The sequence below is a fragment of the Homo sapiens genome, chromosome 17 (genome assembly GCF_000001405.40).
Source record: "Homo sapiens chromosome 17, GRCh38.p14 Primary Assembly".
Lineage (NCBI taxonomy): Eukaryota > Metazoa > Chordata > Mammalia > Primates > Hominidae > Homo > Homo sapiens.
Genome location: NC_000017.11, coordinates 38323640 through 38350458, shown reverse-complemented (window position 1 = coordinate 38350458; position 26819 = coordinate 38323640). Strand labels below are relative to the sequence as shown.

The window sequence follows — 26819 nt, the reverse complement described above, 5'->3', positions numbered from 1 at the left end:
TTGTTCTTAGGCTAATGTGTGATCTTGTGATCTGACCCCTGTGTGATCTAACCCCTGCCTCTCTAGCCACATCCCCTGCTAAGCTCCACCTTGTTCTCTGTTCCCTGCATTCCCATCAACCTTGCGGCAGGCTCCCATACATGTGGGCAAGAAAAGCTATTCCCTTTTCTTGCAAGACTTTTCTCTTTTTGCTTAGTAAACTCCTACTCATCCTTCAGATTGAACTCACTCCTCACTACCTTAGGGAAATCTCCCTGCCTGGGCCCTTCCTCCTCCCCAGGCTCTGAGATCATTCCTTTGTTGCACTTACTTGCGCAGGTGTAATTTGCAATCTGTCTGTGGGGTCAGTTGATTAAAAGCTGTCCTCCCTACAAAACTGTAAATTCTATGAGGGCAGAAGCCATGTTTGCTTTTTGCCCCTTGGGGACTCTCCAGTGCCAAGGACAGTGCCTGGAATTGTTGTTCAACCTTAAGCCCTGTAAGAGTCTCCTGAGACAAATTCTGCACAACAGAATTAATTATCTTTCCTCACACATAAAGAGACAAAGTAAACCTCAGTGAGTTATTTAGCTAAAGTCACTCAATTCAAAAGGATGCAGTGAAAATCAAAACCAGCTCTGACTCCAGATAGTTCATTCTCTTCCCCTGGCTGCCTCTCAGGTGTCACTCAGGTTTCTGAAGAAAAGAAGAGCGATTGAGAGGGGCATGTTTACCCACGTCTGTAATTCCAGCGCTTGGGGAGGCCAAGGCAGGTCTTGGATCACTTGAGGCCAGGAGTTTAAGGCCAGCCAGGGCAACATAGCAACACTCTGGCTCTACAACAAATGTTAAAATTAGCCAGGCATGGTGGTGTGCCCAGATGTGGTCTCAGCTACTCAGGAGGCTGAGGCAGGAGGATTGCTTGAGCCCAGGAGGTGGAGACTGCAGTGAGCTGTGATCACACCACTGCACTCTAGCCTGGGTGACAGAGCAAGACCGTGTCTCTATATAGATAAATGAATAAAAGAAGAGAAATTGCTATAGAATCACACAACACCTGAGGCCTAAGAAGACTACCCAAGATCCCCAGCTTTCTCTCTGAGAAACTCTCTGGCCTCAGAGCCCATTACAAGCTGATTACAGGCAAGGTCCCTGGCTCTTCATCGCCCTCTGCTGTCCAGCTGCTTTCCTGGCCGTGGGAGAAGAGGACTGTGTGGGTTATCTGGAGTATCTCTACTTGCACGGAGTGCACAGAGGTACAGAGGAACACACGCGAGCTCTTTCTAAGGCAGGGCAAGCCATGGGGTAGACTTTTCCCATTTCCATAATTGTCCATTTCCGTAGCCCAGATCCTGGAAAAAACATTGAAAGTTAAATTCCAAGCAAAGAGGGTGTATCTTTGCATTTGTAGGACTTGAATTTGTGTTGGGGGTTGTTTGTTTGTTTTGAGACAGCATTTCATTCTTTTGTGTTTTTGTTTGTTTGTTTTGTTTTGTTTTTTTAGACGGAATTTTGCTCTTGTTGCCCAGGCTGGAGTGCAATGGCGCTATCTTGGCTCACTGCAACCTCTGCCTGCCAGGTTCAAGCGATTCTCCTGCCTCAGCCTCCCAAGTAGCTGGGATTACAGGCATGCGCCACCACGCCTAGCTAATTTTGTATTTTTAGTAGAGACAGAGTTTCTCCATGTTGGTCAGGCTCATCTCGATCTCCCAACCTCATTGATCTGCCTGCCTCAGCCTCCCGAAGTGCTGGGATTACAGGCGTGAGCCACGGCGCCCGGCCTCAGAGTTTCATTCTTGTTTCCCAGGCTGGAGTGCATAGGTATGATCTCGGCTCACTGCAACCTCTGCCTCCTGCGTTCAAGCAATTCTCCTGCCTCAGCCTCCTGAGTAGCTGAGATTACCGGCGCATGCCACCAGGCCCAGCTAATTTTTTTGTTTTTAGTAGAGACAGGGTTCCGCCATGTTGGCCAGGCTGGTCTCAAACTCCTGACCTCAATTGATCCACCTGCCTCAGCTTCCCAAAGTGTTGGGATTACAGGTGTGAGCCACTGCGCCCTGCCAAATTTATGTTTATTGAGCTGATTTTATGTTTAAATATACCTCTTTCACTGAGCACTATAAAAGTGGTCCTCAGCCGAGCGTGGTGGCTCAAGCCTATAATCCCAGCACTTTGGGAGGCCAAGGTAGGCGGATCACTTTAGCCTGGGAGTTTGTGACCAGGTTGGGCAACAAAGAGACCCAATGTTGTGAGGATGTCGTGAGACCTCGTCTCTACAAAAAATAAAAAAAAAATAGTTGGGCGTGGTGGCGTGCACCTGTAATCCCAGCTACTCAGGAGGCTGAGGCAGGAGAATCACTTGAGCCCAGGGGTCAGAAGTGGAGTGAGCTGTGTTCATGCCACTGCACCCCTGCCTGGGTGACAGAGTGAGAGACCCTGTCTCAAAAAAGTAAAACAGAAAATAAGGTGGGCACAGTGGCTCACGCCTATAATCACAACACTTTGGGAGGTTGAAGTGGGCGGATCACTTGAGCCCAGGAGTTTGAGACCAGCCAGGGCAGTAAGGCAAAACCCCATCTCTATTCCCACCGCCAAAAAAAAAATATATATATATATATATATATTTACCTGGGCATGATGGCACGCACCTGTAGTCTCAGCTACTTGGGAGGCTGAGGTGGGAGGATCCATTAAGCAAGCCCTGGCGGTGGAGGCTGCAGTGAGCCGTGATTGTGCCACTGCACTTTAGTCTGGGTGATAGACACTCCAGCTTGGGTGACTGAGTGAAACCCTGTCTCAAAAAAAAAAAAAAAGGTCCCTACAGAGATAGAGTCCTAGTTTTAAAAACTTTTATGAAGGATGACTTAAAGAATTTAAGGTCTGGCACAGTGGCTCACACCTGTAATCCTCGCACTTTGGGAGACCAAGGTAGAAGGATCACTTGAGCCCAGGAGTTTGAGACCACCCTCGACAACATAGTGAGACCTCATCTCCACAATTTTTTTTTTGGGCGGGGGGACGTTGTCTCTCTCTGTTGCCCAGACTGGAGTGCAGTGGTGCGATCTCGGCTCACTGCAACCTCTGCCTCCTGGGTTCAAGTAGTTCTCTGCCTCAGCCTCCCGAGTAGCTGGGATTACAAGTGCCCAACACCATGCCTGGCTAATTCTTCTGTATTTTTTAGTAGAGGCCGGGTTTCACCATCTTGGCCAGGCTGATTTTTTTTTTTTTTTTTTTTGAGTCAGAGTCTCGCTGTGTCGCCCAGGCTGGAGTGCGGTGGCGCGATGTCGGCTCACTGCAAGCTCTGCCTCCCGGGTTCACGCCATTCTCCTGCCTCAGCCTCCTGAGTCGCTGGGACTACAGGCGCCTGCCACCATACCCGGCTAATTTTTTTGTATTTTTAGTAGAGATGAGATTTCACCGTGTTAGCCAGGATGGTCCCCATCTCCTGACCTCGTGATCCACCCACCTCGGCCTCCCAAAGTGCTGGGATTACAGGCGTGAGCCACTGCCCCTGGCCAGCCAGGCTGATCTTGAACTCCTGACCTCGTGATCCACCCACCTCGGCCTCCCAAAGTGCTGGGATTACAGGCGTGAGCCACCGTGCTCGGCCTTTTTTTTTTTTTTTTTTTTAATTAGCCAGGTGTGGTGGCACATGCCTGTAGTCCCAGCTACTCAGGAGGCTGAGGTGGGAGGCTCACTTGAGCCTGGGAGGCCGAGGCTGTAGGAAGCCATGATCTCACCACTGCACTCCAGGCTGGTGATAGAGCGAGACCCTGCCTCAAAACAAAAAAATGATAAAGAATCTAAAGAAGTTCTGAGATTCATTTGGTCATTCAACGGTGGGCTAGGTTTGGGGATGCAGTGATAAATGAGACAGACACAATCCCTGTCCCTCTGGACTTTGTGGTTGGTCTAGTTAGTCTTAATCATGCCACTTTCTGAATATATGAGCAAACGCAAATAATTAAACATCTCCGAACCCGTGTTTCATTTGTTAAAATGGGTCAGTAATAATCCCCCCTTGACATGGCTATTGTGGGGAATTAAATGAAAACTTACGTGTAAAGGTACTTAATAAATTCTACAGTGCTATACAAATGTTAGTTAATACATTTTTTCCCAAGAAGCTTTTCATGGTAATAACTTAATACATTTTTTCCCAAGAAGCTTTTCATGATAAGTTACTATTGTCTTCACCCAGTGTGTTTTGTTGACCCTCAACTAACAGTAACCAGTAATAAATACCAAGAAATTGAATAAGTCACTCAGAAAGGCCAAGGAAAGAGCTATGGATGTGCAATACAGGTTTCTGCTCCCAGCAATACCACTAACTGGCTGGGTGACCTTGTGAATGTCACTTTCCTTTCAGTGTTTTAGTTTCCTAATTTGTTAAAAAAAAAAAAAAAAAAAAAAGTCTGGGCTATGGGCCCTGCTAGTTTTGCCATCATAGAGATTCTCCTGGGGGCTTGTCCTCTAGCCCCGCTATCCCCACAGCCTGGGCACTCCCACTTAGGTTGCATAGCACAATTGTTCTTTGCAAGGCCGGGCACGGTGGCTCACGCCTGTAATCCCCGCACTTTGAGAGGTCAAGGCAGGCAGATCACCTGAGGTCAGGGTTTCAAGATCAGCCTAGCCAACATGGTGAAACACCATCTCTACCAAAAATACAAAAATTAGCCAGGCGTGGTGGCACACGCCTGTACTCCCAGCTACTTGGGAGGCTGAGGCAGGAGAATCACTTGAACCCGGGAGGCAGAGGTTTCAGTGAGCCGAGATTGTGCCACTGCACTCCAGCCTGGGCAACAGAACAAGACTCTGTCTAAAAAAAAAGAATTATTGTTTGCAGAGGTCAACTGGAAAGCAAGGGACATGTTTGGCAACCACCACCCATCCCTACCTACATACACTCAATGATCTTGGACATCAAAGGTTCCAGACATTGGGGGTTTGGAGGGGGTTTGAAGGGAAGAAGCCAAGAGACAGCCTGCGCCTGCGGGGCCAGATTGCCTGGTGAAGCAGGAAGCCCATCATCAAGGGAAAAGTGATGGGTGGGCAGGCAGGAGCTTTGTTCTGTGGCTTCCCCAAGAATCCATGCCCTTCCGGATCCAAGGAGGCCGGCTCAGACAGCACTGACTCAGGGCCCCCCAGTTACTGTGCCTAGCAGCAGGAAGGAGGTGAGGGGTAAGAAAAATGGGGAAAAGCGAGAGAGAGTAGCCACAGTTTTCATGAAGAAAAGGAGAAGGGGCCAGGTGCAGTGGCTCACACCTGTAATCCCAGCACTTTGGGAGGCTGAGGCAGGTAGACTACTTGTCAGGAGTTCGAGACCAGCCTGGCCAACATGGTGAAACCCCCGTCTCTACTAAAAAATTTAAAAAAAAAAATAAAATAAAATTTGCCGAGCATGGTGGCACATGCCTGTAGTCCCAGCTACTCAGGAAGCTGAAGCAGGAGAATCGCTTAAACCCAGGAGGCAGAGGTTGCAGTGAGCCGAGATCACGCTGGTGCAACTCCAGCTGGGTGGACAAAGAATCTATCTCAAAAAAAAAAAAAAAAAGAAGAAGGTAGAACTTAGGATGACAAAATGAAGGTGTAAGAAATGGAGGCAAAACTGTGTTCACTGTCTTCTCCTTGCCCACCTCTCTCCCGCCACCATTGCCACTGTGCTTGTCGACTTTGGTTCAGAAGGAGGCCTGGGTTGTAGGGACGGACACCTGGGTGGAGGCTGCGGCTCTGTCATAAACAACACTGTGGTTCTAGGGAAGTCCCTTGACGCCTCTGCTAGGAGGCTTTGTTATAGTCCCTGAGGCTGAGTAACGGTGATGGTGGTGGTTTGGATGGGCAATGTAGGGGAGTCAGAGCTCTGGATGTAAGTCTCTGAGTGAGCTGCTTTGTGACCTTGGGTGAGTCTCAGTGTCTGCATCTGTGAAATGGGGATAAGAACATTCACCATACATGGCTGTGGGGAAGACTCATTCAGATAAGGCACATGAAAAGCACCTTATAAGCTGCCTCAGTCTGTACAAAGACCAATTACGGTACTATTAGGCTGTCTTTCCTGCCCTCAACATCCCCATTCTCAAATCCCAGCTCAGCAGCACAGGGTCAGGGGGGTGCAGGCAGCCAGCGCAGACTGCCAGGAGATGCAGCTTGGCCCCTTAGTGTGCCTGTTGCAATTGCTGCCAGGAGCCTGAGTGGAGCAGAGGGGTGGAGAGAGGGGCACAAGCTCATCTGCGGTTGCTATGGTGCCCCATCCTGGATTTGCCCATCTCTCCTAATGGAGCAAAGGGCAGGCAGAGGGAGGGAGGGAGAAAGAGCACAACTGGTGCCTTCGTCTCCCCTTCCCTCCCATCTCTCTCCCTCGGGAGCAGATGTGGATGGGGGATGGAGGGAGCCTGAATACTGGATAGGAGGGGAGGAAAGAGTGGGGTGCTGGGATTAAGAGGTTTGAGATAGGGGGCCGCACTGAGACAGTAGGGGGCAGGGCCCTCATACCTACATCCAGAAGCCAGCTGGTGACGTTAGAGAGAAGAAAAAAGCAGGCGAGCTGGCACCAGCGTGAGAGGGAGACGGAGAGAGGAAGAAGGAACGCCAGCATAGGAGGCGTGGAGGCCGACAGCCCCCAGACTGCAGCCAGCCTCTGCCTGGGCTCTCCTGAGCCTGGACCCCAGGGTCCTGAGAGCTGCCCCAAGGATGGGCACCAGGGGAGCGGTCATGCCCCCTCCTATGTGGGGGCTGCTGGGCTGCTGTTTTGTCTGTGCCTGGGCTCTGGGGGGTCCACGGCCCATCCGCTCTCTGCCCCCTCTGTCTTCCCAAGTCAAGCCAGGATCTGTACCCATGCAGGTGCCCCTAGAGGGGGCCGAGGCCGCCCTCGCTTATCTCTACTCTGGAGATGCCCAGCAGCTATCACAGGTGAATTGCAGTGAGCGCTATGAAGCGCGTGGGGCAGGAGCCATGCCAGGGCTCCCCCCAAGCCTACAGGGGGCAGCGGGCACCCTTGCCCAGGCCGCCAATTTTCTCAACATGCTGCTGCAAGCCAACGACATCCGTGAGTCCAGTGTGGAGGAGGATGTGGAATGGTACCAGGCACTGGTCCGCAGCGTGGCCGAGGGGGACCCAAGAGTGTACAGGGCTTTGCTGACCTTTAACCCTCCACCAGGGGCCAGCCACCTACAGCTGGCCCTGCAGGCCACCCGGACTGGGGAGGAAACCATCCTGCAGGACTTGTCTGGGAACTGGGTGCAGGAGGAGAACCCTCCTGGGGACCTGGACACCCCTGCCCTGAAGAAGCGAGTGTTGACCAATGACCTAGGGAGCCTCGGCAGCCCCAAGTGGCCGCAGGCAGATGGATATGTGGGGGACACGCAGCAGGTGAGGCTGTCTCCTCCTTTCCTGGAATGCCAGGAGGGACGGCTCCGACCTGGATGGCTGATCACACTCTCTGCCACCTTCTATGGACTCAAGCCAGACCTCAGCCCAGAAGTCAGGTAAGTGGGTTTGTGCAGGATTTGATGCATGTGTGGGGATGTAGGGGAAGGAAGTACAGGTCCCCTCAGCTGTGCCTGGGCCATTTGGCACGAACATGTGCATGCCTGGGGGGCACACAGATGTGGGTATTTGTACTCAGCTGTGTGTACTTACAGTCGGCTCTGGGAATCTGCAACTATCTGTTAACACATACAGGTGTGAGTGTACATGTGTATAAATCAATCCATATTTATCTGGGTTTATGTGCTTGAGCACATGCAGGAATGTCTGTGAGCCTGTGCATATACAAATAGGTATACATATGTAGCATACATCTATATGCAGGTATACACATGTGTGTAGAGATATGTCAGTATAGCTGGGTGCAGTGGCTCACGCCTGTAATCCCAACACTTTGGGAGGCTGAGGCGGGTGGATCACCTGAGGTCAGGAGTTCAAGACCAGACTGACCAACATGGAGAAACCCCATCTCTACTAAAAATACAAAATTAGCTGGGTGTGGTAGCGAGTACCTGTAAACCCAGCTACTCAGGAGGCTGAGGCAGGAGAATCACTTGAACCTGAACCCCAGAGGCAGACGTTGCGGTGACCCGAGATCACGCCATTGCACTCCAGCCTGGGCAACAAGAGCAAAACTCTGTCTCAAAAAAAAAAAAAAAAGATGTGTCAGTATAGACAGGCAGAGGTCTTGGCCCCCAGGCCTGAGAAGGGAGTGCAAGAGGCAGGAGAGGTCTTGGTGTGGATGACAGTGACAATCTATGCACCAGGCTTGTTAGTGGAGAGCTGGGTGGGCACTCCAGGCGTTCAACCTACTGCTCTCTAGCAACTGAGAGCTGTAAAATGAGGCTTCCCCGGAGAAGGAAAACTTTTTTTTTTTCAAGACAGAGTCTCGCTCTGTCGCCCAGGCTATAGTGCAGTGGTGCAACCTCGGCTCACGGCAGCTGCAGCCTCCCAGGTACAGATGATTCTCCTGCCTCAGCCTCCTGAGTAGCTGGGATTACAGGTGCGCATCATCATACCTGGCTACTTTTTGTATTTTAGTAGAGATGGGGTTTCACTATGTTGGCCAGGCTGGTCTCGAACTCCTGACCTCAAGTGATCTGCCCGCCTCGGCCTCCCAAATTGCTGGGATTACAGGTGTGAGCCACCACACCCAGCGGAAGGAAAACTCTTGAGGGGGCTTGGAATCAATGCTCTTTCTGCCAAGGAGCTGGCTGAGTCCCCAGGGCCATCTTCTTAAACCAAGCAGGCCGCACTATCCTGCCTGTCCTGACGCAGAAGCTTGTGATTCTCCTCCAGTAAACTACCTCCTCCCTCAACCACAGGAAAGAAGGATTGAGGGTCCTATTGGGAAGGGAGCAGCGACTGAGCCTAGGACTGCAGGGCATTCAACAATCAACACTGCTTCTCCAGCTCTGTGTCCCCATTCATTGTTCCCAGCAGGGTTCTCCTCCTGCCAGCAGGCAGCCTGGCTCCTTGCCAGCTCAGCCCAGAGCAAAGGCTGGGGAACTGCTGGTCCAGGCAGTGCCAGGTCAGGGCTCCTCTATTTCATATCTCCTTTGCTGTGATCAATTCAGACCTGGCTTGGGCAGAGAGAGGAGATGGTTAATAGCTGAGCTGATCTCTGTGTGTGTGCGTGTGTACATGCATGAGGAAGTGTGAAAATCCTCTTCAGAGATCATCAGAGCCCTGACTCCTGCCATGTCTTGACATGCGCCCTGTCTCTCCTCCTTGACAGAAACCAGGAAATGATAGGATATCAAAAAGCTGAGGGGTGGAGAGAACAACCTAGTAGAAAGAAGACTGTTGTCCACAGAGACAGTGAACATTCATAATACTGGAGAAATGGAATACATGCATGCCCTTCGCACACACTGCAGGTGCTGGGCTAAAGTTTGCAAAGACTGCATTGTCCCCAGATCTAGTGCCTGTAGGGGCAGAAAAGTGTGATCCCTTTCCTCACTCATCATAAGGGTCACAATACTCCTATAACAAAAGACAGATTAACAAGAGAAAGGCATAACAAATTTATTTAATCAAAGTTTTTTGTTTGTTTGTTTGTTTGTGTGTTTGTTTTTGAGATGGACTCTTGCTCTGTCACTAGGCTGAAGTGTAGTGGCGCCATCTTGGCTCACTGCAACCTCCGCCTCCTGGGTTCAAGCGATTCTCCTGCCTCAGCCTCCTGAGTATCTGGGATTACAGGCATGAGCCACCATGCCCGGCTGATTTTTGTATTTTTAGTAGAGACAAGGTTTCTCCATGTTGGCCAGGCTGGTCTCGAACTCCTGGTCTCAGATTATGCACCTGCCTCGGCCTCCCAAAGTGCTGGGATTACAGGCATGAGCCACTGCACCCCGCCTATTTAGCCAAAGTTTTACATGACACAGGAGCCTTCAGAAATGAAGACCCAGTGGCAGAGGCTCAGTGGCTTACACATATAATCCCAGCACTTTGGGACGCCCAGGTGGGAGGATGGCTTGAGTCCAGGAGTTCAAGACCAGCCTGAACAATATAACCAAAGCTCGTCTCCACTAAAAATAATTTTTAAAAACTAGCCAGGCATGGTGGCATATGTTTGTAGTCCCAGCTACTTGGGAGGCTGAGGTGGGAGGATTGCTTGGGCCCAGGAGTTCAAGACCAGCCTGAGCAATATAGCCAGAACTTGTCTCCACTAAAAATAATTTTTAAAAACTAGCCAGGCATGGTGGCACATGCCTGTAGTCCCAGCTACTTTGGAGACTGAGGTGAGAGAATCACTTGAGCCAAAGAGGTGGAGGTGGCAGTGAGCTATGATCATGCCACTGCACTCCAGCCTGGGCAACAGAGCAAGACTGTGTGTCTAAGAAAAAAAAAGAAAGAATAGACTCAGGGAAAACTGTTCATTGTTATGCTTAGATTCCATGAAGCATGGTCAGCCCTGTAGAACTGTGATTGGACAAAAAAGTCTATGATCTAATGGTAGTAGACCAAATAGGGAAACTCAGCCAGGCCTCTGTTCAGCTTCCTCTTGGCCTGTCTATGTAGCATCCTTCCTCCCAGGTACAGGGCAGGATCCCTCTGGAATGAGGGTCATATGACCTACTTACTATCAGTCAAGGCAGGCCAGAGAATTTCTTTATGACCAGCTCCTACACAGAAAGGCAGGGGAAGATGAGAGTAATAGTTCTTGGTTTTATATCTTGCTCTGGGGGAGGGGGATTCTAGTTTCTATGACCTGCCTTGGGGAAGGGGAATTCTGGTTTCTAGAACTCACTTCAGCGGGGAGAAAGAGGGGCAGGAGACAAGAGAGAAGGAGAAGGTCGGAGAGACCTTACTTCTGAACCCTTCTAATCTCCTTTAGTTCAAAGTCCTCAGCATGCCAAAGTGCCATAATTCCGAGCATCATTTTCTGGGCCCCAACAACGCCCAGGGACACACGTCCACTTTGGCATCAATCACTGTGCCCCTAATTGCCAATTCACTGCCGTAGGGGGCAGGTGCAGATGGACGTAGATCTCCAGAGTGTGGACATCAATCAGTGTGCAAGTGGCCCAGGCTGGTACTCTAACACACACCTGTGTGATCTCAACAGCACCCAGGTAAGGATGAGGAGGATGGGGGGCGCTACTAGAGTCCTGCCTCCCTCCCCTTTTCCCATCACCGCCACCATGCAGCTCCCAGGAGCAGCAGACAAAGCTACCCCAGCATCTCAGGGCTTCAGGGGAGTTCCTAGTGATTGGCAGAGGTGAGATACCAGGCTTTTAAAAAGTCAGGTCACCTACAGCCTGCCCCCCCACCCCCTATTCCTCCTGCTCCTGCCCTCATTCCTTTGAAAGTTCAGTGTTCTTCCTGTCTGCTCTCCTTTCTGGTACTCAGTGCTCCAGGACCCCTCCCCAGGGTGACTTCCTGAGCCTCAGTTACTTATCTCCTTTCCTTCCCCCGGGAACACATTCTTCATGTAACACAGCTCTGGGCTCCTCTTGGCCCACAAAGGATGTTCCATTGGTCTGTCTACAAAAGGGTGTTCCATATTGCTGAAATAAATGGAATTGCTGGTTGGAGTATGGGAGGAATCTAACCAACCAAGGAGCTCGAAGAGGCCTGGGACCAGTGAATGTGATGGAACCTGGGCCAGATGCAGGTAGATTCAAAGCTACGGGTGCAGGTGACTCACAGTGATGGAGAGCACTGGCTGGAAATCATGCAAACCCAGTACTGGGAAACTGGGAGGCCAGTGAATTCACCCGCTCCATGGTTACAATCACTGCATGCTTGTTCCTGAGCTGAGCCAAAGCCAGGGCGAGCCCTGTGGCCTGCTGGGGCTGGTGGGCATATTGTTCTGTGTGCACAGGTGGTTCTACTGCTCTTCAGGGCACATGTGTCTGCAGCTAGAGGTGGAGGGATGGAAAAGGGCTCCCACCATCCAGTTCACTGTTTAACCCAGACACATTCACTTCTCTGGGTGCATGTTTGTCTAATTGTGCAGACTGTGTAGTCCAGTGGTCCAAGCAAGAGGGGAAGTTGGGCCACAGCTTCACAAGCACCACACACTAACCCTACTAAGTGAGGTCAGGGGCTCGATATAGAATCTTCCAAGGTTAACCCTTTCATTTGCGTCACTGATGTCTGTTCCCAGCCACTCCCCACAATAGATCTGACCTCATTTGTTCATATTCCCTGCCTGGCTCTGAGGTCTGCTCTGTCCCCTGCCGGGCAAACATCAATAGGAGGAGGTGGAATAAAGGCTGGCCTTGGCATCCCACCAGCCTGGCATTAGCCTGGCATTAAGGCTGGGAAAAACAGTCCTGTGCGAAAGCCAGATGGTCCCTGGTGAAGGAAGCTGCTCCTCCGTGGGGGGCCTTTCCAGTCCATTTGTGTGCCAAAGATGGAAGCTGATGGGGACCCTTTGAAGTAGGATGTAGGCACACAAGGTATGGCTGGGCTCAGAACTTTCCCTACTTCCATCTCCCCCAGTACCTTGCCCTAGCAAGAGCTGGCCACTAGGAAATGGGTCCTATGAGGCTCCTGTCACTGCCAGTCTGAACAAAAGGGTGATTTCTCCCTGTACTCTTTGCTTAGGGTCTCTTTGGGAAGAGAGGCAACAGCAGGGGTCAGGTAGGGTTTCCACAGAGGGAAGGCTTCCCAAGGACTAGAGAGGGCTTCTGGAGGGATTCCCTAGTGTGGACCCAAGTCCCATGGATAGGGAGGTAGATGGACCCTCCATCTCTCCCAGGAGGGAAAGCTCTTCCAGAGAAAGCCCCACATAAACACATACTGTGTTTGTTGTCCCCATAGTGTGTCCCCCTGGAGAGTCAGGGCTTTGTTCTTGGCCGCTACCTCTGCCGCTGCCGACCTGGATTCTACGGGGCAAGCCCCTCTGGGGGTATGTAAGTGTGGTGGGGGCCAGGCATGTGTTTTACATGAGAGGATGGTTGGGAGGGTACATCTGGGGAAGAAAGCCAGATTGGGGTGAGACACTGGGAGGGAACTTGTGGGGCAAGGGCAGAAGGTTGAGAGAGGCAGGAGAGGCAAGCAGGTTGCAGTGTGGGGGTGTCTACACCTTCTGAGTATGAGCCTGTAACATGCAAATATGATGCAAGTTGGCCTCTCAAGGAGCCCTAGCCTGGTGTCACCTCTTCCTGGTACTTTGCCCTCCCAAGGAAGCACCCATTCCCACTTGTCCCTGGAGCCCCAGATCACAGGAGAACAGGGAGAGGGCTGTGGTGACTATCAGGGAAAAGGCTGGGATGTCAGGATGCTCTAGCTGGGCCCCTCTCCCTGCACTCATCTTGTTCTTTATAGGGTTAGAGGAGAGTGACTTCCAGACTACCGGGCAATTCGGGTTCCCAGAAGGCAGATCTGGGAGACTGCTGCAGTGTCTGCCATGTCCTGAGGGCTGCACCAGCTGCATGGATGCCACACCGTGCCTGGTGGAAGAGGCCGCGGTGCTGCGGGCCGCTGTGCTGGCCTGCCAGGCCTGCTGCATGCTGGCCATCTTCCTGAGCATGCTGGTCTCCTACCGCTGCCGCCGGAACAAGGCAAGGAAGGCCCCACACCTCCTACACACATGTCCGACCCATCTCAACTGGAGGCCTGAGACTACCTAAGACCAGAATTTAGGAGAAATTGGTTCTAATCTTGATTCTAAATCTAACTCACTGTGTAGCATGATGCAAGTGATTTCTCCGCCTTGGACCTGCTTCCTCATCTGTAAAATAAGGGCATTGAACTTGATTCAATAAATGCTAGTTGAGTATCTACTCTAAGCAAAACACTGCCTAGGCTCAAATGGAAGTGATCTGGGCCTGCATGGAGTTCCCAGTTTAATGGAGGAAGCAGACATGTAAATAAAATGACAGCACAGTGAGATGGGGGCAAGGATGGAGGTGTCTGTCAGCTGCTGTGGGAGCTTACAGAAAGTCATCCTGCCTGAGATGGCATGGGAAAGACTTTCTGGATGTGACATGAGCCAGGCTTGAAGGTTAACTGGATACTTACTGGGCCAAGAAGGGGTACCCTATTCTAGACAAGGGAGCAGCCTGACCCAACGCTTGAGGAATGCATGAGATCCCTTCCAGCTCCAGCAGCCTCTGATTTGAGCCTAGGTCTGCAGCAAGGCCCTGAGCAAGACTGGGAGGAACACAGGGATGTGTGTGTGGGAATGATGTAAAACCTTGGCCTTAGCCATGTTTAGTGCCAGTGGAGTTGAGCCTGGGGTAACAAGGGACGTGGATGTGGGCAGAGAGGGCAGAGCCAGTGTTACAGGGTGAAGCCTTAGCTCAGGGTCACTGAGTGACCGTTCACATAGGCCTGAGAGCCTCTAGAACCATCGTCCAGACTCTGCTCACATGCCTCTCTCCTTGCTTCACAGAGGATCTGGGCATCTGGAGTGGTCCTGCTGGAAACTGTCCTTTTTGGATTCCTGCTGCTTTACTTTCCTGTGAGTCTGTGGCCACAGGCTGGCCCCACCTTCCAGCATCCCCCATAGCCAAAACCTGGCACCCTCCAAGCCCCAGAACCCTTCTCTGCCCTCTGGAAGGGATTCAGAGACCACAGATTTCCCCTACTCTTACCCACAAATGGCAAGCTGGTCTATGAGCTCTGGAGCCTCAGGCTTATTAGGAGCTCTGTGACTTGCAGTGTGATTTAGGGCAAGTTACCTAACTTCTTTGACACTTCAGCTGCTCCTCTGCAGAATGAAGGTGGTGATGGCTCTATTGCAGGGCTGTTGGGAGGATCCACAGTGTGCTTAGCATAGGCCTGGCCCACAGCAGAAGCATAGTAGAGAGCAGAGATTTTTGCCCCTTCCCACCAGGTCTTCATCCTATACTTCAAGCCCAGTGTATTCCGCTGCATCGCTCTTCGCTGGGTGCGGCTGCTGGGTTTTGCCATCGTCTACGGCACCATCATACTCAAGCTTTACAGGTACGGCCTGGGGCAGACTTTGCTCTCATGCTGCTCATCCCAGACCACCCCAGCTCACTCATGGAATGGTGTTTTTCAAAGCCAGACCCTTGCCAGCCCCACTCCCCTCTACCCCCAAGGCCAACCCCCATCACCATAGCCTTGTCTTCCATGTTACTTTGTGGGGGGGTAGCAAAAGGCAGCAAATCACAAAAAGGATGGAAGGACAAGTACCTGTGTGGAGGAGAGGGCAGCAATGGACAGAGACCAGGGCGCTGGCACCCTCTTCGTGATCCACCCAGGTCCCTGCCATCCACCCTGTGTATTCTAACCCTCGCAGAGTGCTGCAGCTGTTTCTGTCTCGAACGGCCCAGCGGAGTGCCCTTCTGAGCAGCGGGCGGCTGCTGCGGCACCTGGGGCTGCTCCTGCTACCTGTGCTGGGCTTCCTGGCTGTGTGGACCGTGGGCGCCCTGGAGCGAGGCATCCAGCACGCACCTCTGGTGATCCGAGGCCACACTCCCAGTGGCCGCCATTTCTACCTCTGTCACCACGACCGCTGGGACTACATCATGGTTGTGGGTGAGCTGCTTCTGCTGAGCCCAGCCTTACGCTGGTCCCTGCCTCTGTGCCTCCAGGGTTCCTCTTGTTCTGGTTCTCCTGACTTGTCCCCAGACCCCGAGCCCAGGCTCCCCCCAGCACATCTTTCAGAGAAAGGGGTGGGACAGCTGCTGAGGTGGTGCCGGCTCTCTCCCTCCCTGTCTCCCCACAGCTGAGCTGCTGCTGCTGTGCTGGGGCAGCTTCCTCTGCTACGCCACACGGGCTGTGCTCTCGGCCTTCCATGAGCCACGCTACATGGGCATCGCCCTGCACAATGAGCTACTGCTTTCCGCTGCCTTCCACACAGCCAGGTGAGGACGGACTCACCTCCCCACACCCCCTTCCACTCTAACAGTACTCCTCACCTCTCCCAGGTGAGGTGCCCCCATCCCATGCCATCCTGGCAACACTGCTACGCCTCAGCACGTTGACGAAGGCCCCCACTTCTGGCTCTCTCCCTACCCCCCAGATGCCCCTTCTGTACTCCATGCCTGGCCCAGGTGAGGAGGCCCCCAACACAGAAGAGGAGGAAGAGGACCTTCCTCCTAACTCCTCACCCCTCCCAAAGCACCTCTCCAGCACCCCAACATACCCCTTTCCACACATGCTCAGTCCTCCCTGCCTTCTCCCCTCACTCCTCAGCCATAAGAGCAGCAGGCTGCTGTTTGTCCATAACGACCAGACCCTGTGGTGGAGGCAGAGTTAACCCACAGAGTGGGCCTAAGAGTCTGGAGCACAGGTCTGTGCTATACACAGCCAAAGAAAGTGAGCTGGAGTATTCTGGGAGGGCGTCTTGGAGGTTGGGATTAACAGGATTGAAGTGGGACCTAAATCCTGGAGAGGGCAGGAGAGGGCAGAATGCCCCCTCGTCCTAAGCGTATCAGGGTTGGGGCTGAGGTGAAACGCCAGTGAGAAGGCAAAGCAGAAGAGGCAACTCCTGCCTGCAGTAATGACCTGCGCCCCTATCCCGCCCCAGGTTTGTGCTGGTTCCCTCTCTGCACCCGGACTGGACCCTCCTCCTCTTCTTCTTCCACACCCACAGCACAGTCACCACCACGCTGGCTCTGATCTTCATCCCTAAGGTGAGGCCCTCCCCTCCTGCCTGTGAGGTGGACCCCAGCCCCTCTGTCAGGGCCACTGTGGAGCGGTTGTCCCGCAGCGCCCTCTGCAGGCCAGGGTGAGGACGACAGAAGGTGCTGGGTGAGTGAGCACAGTGCCAGGGGCCCTAAGCTAGGAGCTGACTTGAGTGGGGACACTCTCTGCTTCCAGTTCCTGGGCAAGGGAAAGAAAACCCAGGGCTGGAGGGGCTCCCTCCTGCAGCTGGAAGGTTGGCACACTCTGAAAATCTACTCAGAAGCAGGTATACAGGGAGAGGTGGGAGAGCTGAAGGACCCGGCTAGGAATTGCAGGGTCAGGGGCTTAGAACCACCCTGCTGTCTGAGCTAGAGAAGGTCAGGGAGGATGAGGGGAGTAAAACTCTAAAGATCCCCAGAATTCCAAGTCAGAGAAGGGGGTGAAGCGTCACAAAGTAAGGACGCATTCCACAGGGCAGGTGAGTGCAGGAGTGGACAAGGAGCCAGGGCGAGTCTTTTTCCCACTCTTATGCACCCCTGCCAGTTCTGGAAGCTGGGGGCTCCTCCCCGGGAGGAGATGGTGGATGAGGTGTGTGAGGACGAGCTGGACCTGCAGCACTCAGGCTCCTACCTTGGCAGCAGCATCGCCTCAGCCTGGAGTGAGCACAGCCTGGACCCTGGAGACATTCGGGTATGTGCCACCCTCCCTGCCTCCTTTCAATGCTAGCTTTTAGGAACTGGGCAGAGGGAGGACTGGGCCCTGCCACCTGGGCTATGTGCCACTGCAAGTCCTCTTCCCTCCAAGACCTGCCCTCTCCCTTCTCCACTGGCCTAAACTGATTCCCCTGACTCTATTCAAAGGAGGCCACACACACCCAAGTGGGAAGACCCCAAAGCCCCAGAACCAGATCCCGGAGGCTCAGGCCATGTGGCAAGCTAGAGGCAGGGCCGAGAGTGGAGCCCTACTCCTTCGCATCCTCCACTCTCACTCAGCAGGGGCATCAGGTCGGGGGCAGTCTAAGAAACCCCTCAGCTGGCTGGGCACAGTGGTTCATGCCTGTAATCCCAGCATTTTGGGAGGCCAAGGCAGGCGGATCACTTGAGGCCAGGAGTTTGACCAGCCTGGCCAAATGGCGAAATCTCGTCTCTACTAGAAATACAAAAATTAGCCAGGCATGGTGGTACATGTCTGTGGTCCCAGCTACTCAGGAGGCTGAGGTGGGAGGAGGATCACTGGAGCCTGGTAAGTTGAGGTTGCAGTGAGCTGAGATCGCACCACTGCACTCCAGCCTGGGTGAAAGAGTAAGATTCTGACACACACACACAAAAAAGCCTCAGCCCCCAGCAAAGCAGGATGGTTGGTGCCTAGGGCACCTAGGGCCAGCCTAGGGCCAGCTGTGGGGCTGGGTAGTTCAGGCAGTGAGTAGCCACCAGGATCCCCTTTCCCTGGACCTGGCAGGTCTTAGAGGAAGTTCTTCCTGGGTCTACACTGGAAAAGCATGCTTATTCTCATTTCTGTGCTCAAGGGGATCATTATAGTCACCAGAACCCTAACAAGAGGCTCAGTGGGTAAGATACAAGGAGAGCTGATAATCTAAGCCCATTGTTTTATACAATCCAGAGTCTAGGAACCATCATGGGAAGCCATTCTGTCCACCCCCTCCACCTCTACTGGGGCCGTCTTCACACCTGACTTGTTTACAGGCCCACAAAGCAGAGTCCTCTGCATCTCCTGAGTCCTTCCTTGTTCCAGTGCCTCTGCCCGTTTCCCCCTTGTGTCCTCACCCTCTGAGCTCTGCCTGCCCTGCCTCCTGAGACCCCAATCCAGCTGAAGGGCCAGGGAGTATGGAGGGGCAGCTCCACCCCTGACCCTCCACTTTCTGGAACACAAGCCAATCTGCGGCCCCTATGCTGGATCTGGGGAGAAACCCAGAACAGAAGACTTCTAAAGCCCCGTTCCATCATTTACACCTGAACACTGCATATTTCAAACCCACTAGTCTCATCAATCTCATATAATGCTCTTAAGGAAGTTAACACTGGTCACCCAGGTAACATTGCTTTACAGAAGATCCAGAGGCTCAGAGGGAGGGGTCATGAAAACAGCCTCCAGGGACACAGCATATTGAGTGTCCCCAAGCTACTAACTTCCCACTAGACCACAATGCCCCAGAGAAGGGGGTACACATGAGTCCTCCGAGCTGACTGGATCTGGCTGGGACTCAGGTTGGCAACTGGTCTCACAGGAACAAAGAGGTGAATTACGAGAGTTTTAGAAGCAGGGAAGAGATACAGCTTGATGGAAAGAGATCCCTAAGGGAAAAAGGTCTAGGCAAGGGTGGAGGAACAGACAGCCAGGGGATGGAGAGAGCTCACCTGCAGCCCTGCTTTCCTCCCTGCTGCCCCACAGGACGAGCTGAAGAAGCTCTATGCCCAGCTAGAGGTCCACAAAACCAAGGAAATGGCCGCAAACAACCCCCACCTGCCCAAGAAGCGAGGCAGCTCATGCCAGGGACTGGGCCGCTCCTTCATGAGGTACCTGGCGGAATTCCCCGAGGCCCTGGCCAGGCAGCACTCCCGGGACTCAGGATCCCCAGGCCACGGCAGCCTGCCCGGCTCCTCCCGCCGCCGGCTCCTCAGCTCCAGCCTCCAGGAACCCGAGGGGACACCAGCTCTGCACAAGTCCCGCAGCACCTATGACCAGCGCAGGGAGCAGGACCCGCCTCTTCTTGACTCACTGCTGAGGAGGAAGCTGGCCAAGAAGGCCTCTCGAACAGAGAGCCGGGAGTCGGTGGAGGGGCCCCCTGCCCTGGGCTTCAGGTCAGCCAGCGCCCACAACCTGACGGTGGGAGAGAGGCTACCCAGAGCCCGGCCCGCCTCTCTGCAGAAGTCGCTCAGTGTGGCCAGCTCCAGGGAAAAGGCCTTGCTCATGGCCAGCCAGGCCTACCTGGAGGAGACCTACCGGCAAGCAAAGGAGCGGGAGGAGCGGAAGAAGGCCAAGGCAGCCATGGCCAGCCTGGTGCGGAGGCCATCAGCCAGGAGGCTGGAGCGGCCTCGAGGGGCCCCCCTGTCAGCTCCACCTTCCCCTGCCAAGAGCAGCAGCGTGGACAGCTCTCACACCTCTGGGAGGCTTCATGAGGAGGCTAGGAGAAGGCTGCCTCATCCACCCATCAGGCACCAGGTTTCTACCCCCATCTTGGCCCTGTCTGGGGGCCTGGGAGAGCCAAGGATGCTATCTCCCACCTCCACCTTGGCTCCAGCTCTGCTGCCAGCTCTAGCTCCAACCCCAGCCCCTGCCCTGGCACCAGTCCCAGTATCCCCACAAAGCCCCAACTTACTCACCTACATCTGCCCCTGGGAGAACGCAGAACTGCCAGCCAAGCAAGAAAATGTGCCCCAGGAAGGCCCCTCAGGGCCAGAGCGAGGCCACCACTCCCCTGCCCCAGCTCGAGCCAGGCTCTGGAGGGCCCTCTCTGTTGCAGTAGAGAAAAGCAGGGCTGGGGAGAATGAGATGGACGCAGAGGATGCACATCACCAGAGGGAAGCTAATGATGTGGACGAAGACAGGCCCAAGATCTTCCCTAAATCCCACAGCCTCAAGGCCCCTGTTCAGCAGGGTTCCATGCGCAGCCTGGGGCTGGCGATTAAAGCTCTGACCCGTTCTCGGAGCACCTACAGAGAGAAGGAGAGTGTGGAGGAGAGTCCCGAGGGGCAGAACAGCGGGACTGCGGGAGAGAGTATGGGGGCACCCTCCCGATCGCCCAGGCTAGGCCGGCCCAAGGCGGTGAGTAAGCAGGCCGCTCTTATCCCCTCCGATGACAAGGAGTCCCTCCAGAACCAACAGAACGCTCACACCAGCAGGATGCTCCAAGTCTGTCAACGGGAGGGCAGCAGGGAACAAGAAGACAGAGGCAGGAGGATGACCCAGGGTCTAGGGGAACGGAAAGCTGAGAGAGCAGGTAAAACAGGGCTTGCCATGCTGAGGCAAGTTTCCAGGGACAAAAACATCAAGCAATCAAAAGAAACCCCTGTCGGGTGGCAGGAACTGCCCAAAGCTGGCCTCCAGTCCCTGGGCAGCGCTGACCACAGGGTGGCAGAGGTATGCCCCTGGGAGGTCACTGAATCAGAAACGCGTCAGCCAGACAGTGGCAACAAGGCCGAAATCTGCCCCTGGGAGACGAGTGAAGGAGCCCCAGAGTCGAGGGCACTAAGACAAGACCCAGGTGACTCCCAAAAAAAGAGAGGGGAGGCCCGGGGAAAATCAGAGCCCATAGATGTGGTTCCCATGATGCGGAAAAAGCCAGAGAGGCTGGTGAGGGAGCAGGAAGCAGTGTGTCCCTGGGAGAGTGCCGATCGAGGAGGTCTGTCCCCTGGGTCAGCTCCTCAGGACCCTGGCAGAATCAGAGACAAATCTGAGGCGGGGGACAGTGTGGAGGCCAGGAAGGTGGAGAAGCCTGGGTGGGAAGCTGCTGGCCCAGAAGCTCATACCCCTGACATCACCAAGGCAGAGCCGTGTCCCTGGGAGGCAAGTGAAGGAGGCGAGGATGGGAAACCAGCCCAAGAGGCAGTGAAGGATCTCCCTCAGGAAAAGCAGAAAACCAGGAAAGCAACCTTTTGGAAAGAACAGAAACCGGGAGGAGACTTGGAGTCTCTTTGTCCATGGGAGAGTACAGATTTCCGGGGCCCCTCAGCAGTCTCAATTCAGGCCCCAGGAAGCTCAGAGTGTTCAGGGAGTTTGGGCAGTGGCATTGCTGAAGTGTGTCTGTGGGAGGCAGGAGATGCTCCTGCTATCCAGAAAGCAGAGATCTGTCCCTGGGAGCTGGATGATAACGTGATGGGGCAGGAAATGCTGAGTCTGGGGACAGGTAGAGAATCTCTTCAAGAAAAGGAAAAAGCCTCCAGAAAAGGAAGCTTTGGAGAGATGGGGGAACAAACTGTGAAAGCAGTGCAGAAATTAAGTCAACAGCAGGAGTCAGTTTGTCCCAGGGAGAGCACGGTCCCTGGGCACTCCAGCCCATGTCTAGACAATTCCTCATCCAAAGCTGGTAGCCAATTCCTATGCAATGGAGGAAGCAGAGCAACGCAGGTGTGTCCACAGGAAGATCTCAGGCCGGAGGCACAGGAAGCAACACCTGCCAAAACAGAAATCTGTCCCTGGGAGGTAAATGAAAGAACAAGAGAGGAATGGACATCAGCACAGGTGCCAAGAGGAGGAGAATCTCAAAAGGACAAGGAGAAAATGCCTGGAAAATCGGAAATCGAAGATGTCACAGCTTGGGAAAAGCCTGAGGGGCAGATCCAAAAGCAAGAAGCGGTCGGCCCCTGGGAGAGTGTGGACCCTGGCAGCTTCTCCCCACAACCACGTCCTCAAGACACAGAGAGACCCCAAACCCTTCTCCAGATGTCAGGCAGTGTGGGAAGCAAAGCTGCCGACATTTGCCCTTTGGATGTGGAGGAAAACTTGACTGCTGGGAAGGCAGAAATCTGTCCCTGGGAGGTGGGTGCTGGAGCAGGGGAGGAAAGGGCTTTGGGAGCTGAGGCCATTAGGAAATCTCCAAATGATACAGGCAAGGTTTCTGCAGATCTTGGACCCAGGGAGAGAGCTGTTACTGCTCCAGAGAAGCCACAGAAGCCAACCCCAGAGTGGGAGGTGGCTTGTCCCTGGGGGAGTGTGGGTCCAGGGGCCTGTTCTCAGCATCCAGGTACTCTAGATGCTGATGGACCAAAAGCTGGGTTCCAGGAACTGGATCATATGGGCTGCAGGCCAGGTGAAGTGTGTCCCTGGGAAGCACAGGAAGCTGCTACCAGTGAAAAAGCCAAGATCTGTCCCTGGGAGGTAAGTGAAGGAACTACTGGGAAGGGATTGGACCAAAAGGCAGGGAGTGAATCAGCAGAGCAGAGGGAGAAAGCTCTAGAAAAGGGGAGACTCACTTCCCTGGGAGAAGACGTATCAAAAGGGATGGCAAAACTGTGTCAACAACAGGAAACTATTTGTATTTGGGAGAACAAGGACTTGAGGGAATCCCCTGCTCAGGCCCCCAAGATCTCAGACTTGCCCAGCAGCATGAGTAGTGAAGTGGCAGAGGGACATTCCTTGGAAGCAACAGAGAAGGGGGACCTGAGACAAGACCCAAAGACAGGTTCCTTCCCAGAACACATAACCCAAGAAAAAGCTCCAGCTGCAGACACAGAAGAATTCACTACTGAAGATGGGGAAAAAACAAGCCATGAGCTACAATCCGTCTGTCCATGGGAGACCACTGCCCCAGCAGATTCCGTCTCTCACCTAGACAGACAGCGCCCTGACCAACCTAAAGCTAGCTCCCAGAGACTGGTCAGCACTGGGGGCAGGGCCGCTGACGTGTGCCCATGGGATGTTCCTGATGCAGGTGTGTATAAATCTGACAGCAGTGCCAAGGCTGAGACCTGTCCCTGGGAAGTGACTGAAAGAATCCCTGTCAAAGGGGTGTCAAGGCAGGATGGAAAAGGGGACTCTCAAGAAGAGAAAGGCAGAGCCCCAGAAAAATCAGAGCCAAAAGGTGTGCCAGTTCAGAAAAAGCCAGAGATGGCAGACTTCAGGCAGCAGGAGGCTGTGTGTCCCTGGGAGAGTCAAGATGGCAAGGGTCTGTCCCCACAGCCAGCCCCAGATGCTTCTGACAGAAGCAGAGGCAGTTCTGAGGCAGCAGGCAGTGTGGAGACCAGGGTAGCGGAAGTGTGTCTGTGGGAAGTGGTAGAGGCTCCCTCTGCCAAGAAAGCAGAGATCTGCCCTTGGGAGGCGGGTGGAGGAGCAGCAGAGGAAGGGGAACAGGAAAGAGAATCACAAGGGCAAGGAGAGATGTTCCTTCAGAAGGCAGGACCTGGAGGGACGGAAGAACACTTCTCAAAAGCAGCAGCAAAGCCCAGAGAGCAGGAGGCAGTCTGCCCTGGGGAAGGCACAGGCTCAGGAGGGCTCTTGCCCCAGTCAGGTGCCCTGGACCCAGAACTCAAAGTCAGCCCCAAGGAAGCAGGCAGCATGGGAAGCAGGATGGCAGAGCTGTGCCAATGGGAAATCACAGATCCAGAAGGAAATAAAATAAAGGGTACCATGGCAGACATCTGTCCTGGGGAGGAAACTGGAGTCCCATCTGAGGAATCTGGCCTCCTGGCTTTAACAGCAACTCGGAGAGAATTTTTCCCCACAGCTCCTGAAAAACCACTATGCCTTTTAGTCCATGGGCCTCTGGATCACTTCTTTCCAGAAAGCAAAATCCCCTGCCCCAAGGTAAGCAGGCCAGCCAGTACTTTCACTCTAGAAGGTGTCAGAGAACTACAAGGACCTTCAGGGCTTGAGCCAAGGACCAGCTTAGCCCCAGAGCCAAGTCTCCAGGAAGCTGAGTCTCAGTCTTCGTCCTTAACTGAAGACTCAGGCCAAGTGGCTTTTGAAGCTCAGTATGAAGAATTCACCCCTCCCACTGTCTATCCTTGGGATTGGGAGTAACAGCCTTATTAGGTGAGGTCAAACACAGAGCTAGCTTTCAGGAGCCAAGGCCCTTTCCAAGTCCAGGTGTTCCCAAAGAGCTGAATCAAAGACAGCTTGGCCACTTCCCCTCCTTGAGAAGACCAGAAGTCAACCCATCCCAAAGACAAACTGCATGAAAAGGGTACAGCTTAGACCCCAATGGGAAGGCCCACCCTCTCTTTACTTCTAACTTTTCTTCCTGTTTGAGGAAACAAAGACTGGACACTCTACTTCTAAGGACGCCTCCCATCCACCTACAGTACTCACAACACAAACCACCCGAGTCTGGACACTCACCCACAAAGCCACTGTTAGGGATGAAAAAAGTCAGTTGTGCCCAGCCTACCTTCTCTCACAGGGGGACCCAATTCTCTGAAGTCTACGATGGAGCATTTTTTGAGAAGAAACTAAACCATACAAAGTGTTGGCAACGTAGGGATGGTGGACCACAGAAGGCTATAAAGGCCACCATAGAAAGCTGAAGAGCCATTTAATTGAAGCGGAAGATAAATTGGGGGAAAAGCTAAAATGACTCAAAATAGGGGCCTGAAAATGCTTTAAGGACCTTGTCATTTTGACTTTGAATCTCCTGTTTCTGCTTTATTGCTTCTCATACCTGCCCTGCTTGACTGCTGAAGCAGAAACAATCAGGCACGCTGACACCCTTATCAGCATCTGGCATCCAAAGCAACATCAGAGAGAGAGAACACAGAAGAAAAGCAATTGCCCCAGGTCCTCCCCACAGTCAAGGGAGCTCTTCCTTCCAGACATCCTTGTGTGCCTCTTGCTAGTTTTTTAGGGGGTCTCCCCCTCTTCCTGCCCTAGCTCTCACCAGTCTCCAGAGCTCGTCTCACTGGCTCATTTCCTTCCCCCTAGCTTTTCAGCGCTGCCATCAACAGGACCTCTCTCTTTTGTCAAGGCAACTGGAGTCAAGGGGAATCTCTGGTTCTGATGCAAGACCCATCCACCCTCCCCCACCCCTCCCCGCCCAAGAATCACTTGCTCAGTAACAAGAGGCCACATCAATCTCCTTCCAGAGGAGCTCAAGAAAGGCAGTCCTGTACACAGCCAGCACTCTACTTCTTCTGCCCTCTAAAAGAGGAGTGCTACAGGGCAAGTTAGAAGCCTGAGAGCTGGGAAAAGGGCACTGTGTGAAGACAAAGCCTTCTTTCTTAGGGAGCTCTCTCTTTCTTGGCTCCCTTCTCTCGTCAGTTCAGGCTACACTTGCTTAAGCAGTACTAGATTACAAATTGCTGGGATTAGATGATAATACCAGAGGGAAAGGAAGAAGGAGAAAAACATACAAAGAAGTCCCAAGATTGGCAAAGGGAGGTGGGAGAGGGGGGAAGGGGCAGCTAGAGAAGGCAGAGCTGCACAGGGGCACTAAAGATGGCAGTAAGTCACGCCCTCTAACAGTACAACAGTACAGACATTGATGTCATTCATGGGGAGAAAAAGACAAACAGGGAGACCAAATACCCAAAGGGAAAAAGAGCCATTAACATCTAGTCTGCATGTAAATATGCTGGGCGGTTATGGGACTTCACAGAGAAAGTAAAAAAGTACTCCATTTCCAAAAGGGAACAGAGGAATGGAGTAACCTACTCTCCTTTGGGGACCAGATGTCCTCATTCTCTTACCTAGGGCCCTTATTCTGGGCTTTTGGAGCAGTAATTGAAGTGTGTTGTTGTTCTGGGCTCTGGCTAGTTAGCCTTACGGCTTCTGAGCTAAAGTGGATTTTGCTGTGCACCCCAAAACAATCCCATTGGGTCTGGTCTAGCTGGAAACAGCAAAGTTGCCGCCAAACACACTCTTGTGAAATAAACCATGGGGTGGGGGGGGCGGGGCGGAAATAAAGAATGCTTTTTCTTGACATTGCAGTTGGCTCTAGCTTATTCATGATTATCTTTTTTTAACATTTTTAAACAGTAACAGAAGATAGATAAGGAAAGAACAATGCCTGCTCCAAAGCTCAAGGTGCACTGCAGTCTTGGGACTTTGGGTTATCTGGCTAATGCTCTGCTAGTGCCCAGGTCAGTGCTGACACTGCAGATGGTCTCTGCCTGGTCCTTCTAGCCAGCCCCTCACATCTGGAGGCCATTTGCTCAGCTGGATTTAATCCCAAGGGGAAATGGAAATTGCACTCATCCTCTGGCTCTCTGGTGGCAGCTACTGCTTAGCTCCTATTTAGGATTATCTAGAGAACCCTGAGATATCCAGGGGAGTGGGATGAAACAGCTTATTTGAAGCACTATTTTTACATATTCAAAGGAATCAATGTATCATTTACCCACTAAGTGTGCTTTTTTTTTTTTTTTCATTTCTTTGCTTCCTTACCCTGCAAGGATTATTTCCCCTTCCTCCATACTCCCTGGCAGTGGGTCCTGCTCAAAAGCACGTCCCTTCTCATTTTGCCTTAATCCAGGGCTCAGGCAAATAGGATGTGACCAAACCTCACTTGGGCAGTAATTAAAGTGATGTACACTTTAAGCCAAAAAGGTTGGGACTAAGCAGCATGATGAGAGTGGTTGATGAGAGACACCAGGGCTGTCTCTTCCCTAAATATACATACCTTTGTTTCCATAGTTAACACTTAACAGGCCAGGCATGGTGACTCACACCTGTAATCCCAGCACTTTGGGAGGATGAGGCAGGCAGATCACCTGAGGACAGGAGTTCGAGACCAGCCTGGCCAACACATAGTGAAACCCCATCTCTACTAAAAAAAAAATTCAAAAATCAGCCAGGCATGGTGGCACATGCCTGTAGTCCCAGCTACATGGGAAGCTGAGGCAGGAGAATAG

At 53.0% G+C, this 26819-nt stretch overlaps 1 protein-coding gene across 1 annotated transcript, besides 2 other annotated features; it reads left to right on the top strand.

Moving 5' to 3' along the window:
- GPR179 (G protein-coupled receptor 179) lies at nucleotides 6503–25888 on the top strand. Its single transcript, NM_001004334.4, has 11 exons — nucleotides 6503–7463; nucleotides 10934–11042; nucleotides 12739–12826; nucleotides 13246–13481; nucleotides 14315–14383; nucleotides 14759–14868; nucleotides 15188–15426; nucleotides 15617–15755; nucleotides 16421–16526; nucleotides 17062–17208; nucleotides 18928–25888. The coding sequence occupies exons 1-11, from the start codon at nucleotides 6670–6672 to the stop codon at nucleotides 23992–23994; spliced, it is 7104 nt and encodes a 2367-aa protein (NP_001004334.3). The 5' UTR covers nucleotides 6503–6669; the 3' UTR covers nucleotides 23995–25888.
- Nucleotides 8604–9128: an enhancer, noted in NCBI's record as "NANOG hESC enhancer chr17:36497214-36497738 (GRCh37/hg19 assembly coordinates)". NCBI's record gives its function as "activates a minimal SCP1, AML or CMV promoter by ChIP-STARR-seq in naive H9 embryonic stem cells {active_cell/tissue: H9 hESC(naive)}" and the evidence as "EXISTENCE:reporter gene assay evidence [ECO:0000049][PMID:30033119]".
- Nucleotides 17204–17704: an enhancer, noted in NCBI's record as "H3K27ac hESC enhancer chr17:36488638-36489138 (GRCh37/hg19 assembly coordinates)". NCBI's record gives its function as "activates a minimal SCP1, AML or CMV promoter by ChIP-STARR-seq in naive H9 embryonic stem cells {active_cell/tissue: H9 hESC(naive)}" and the evidence as "EXISTENCE:reporter gene assay evidence [ECO:0000049][PMID:30033119]".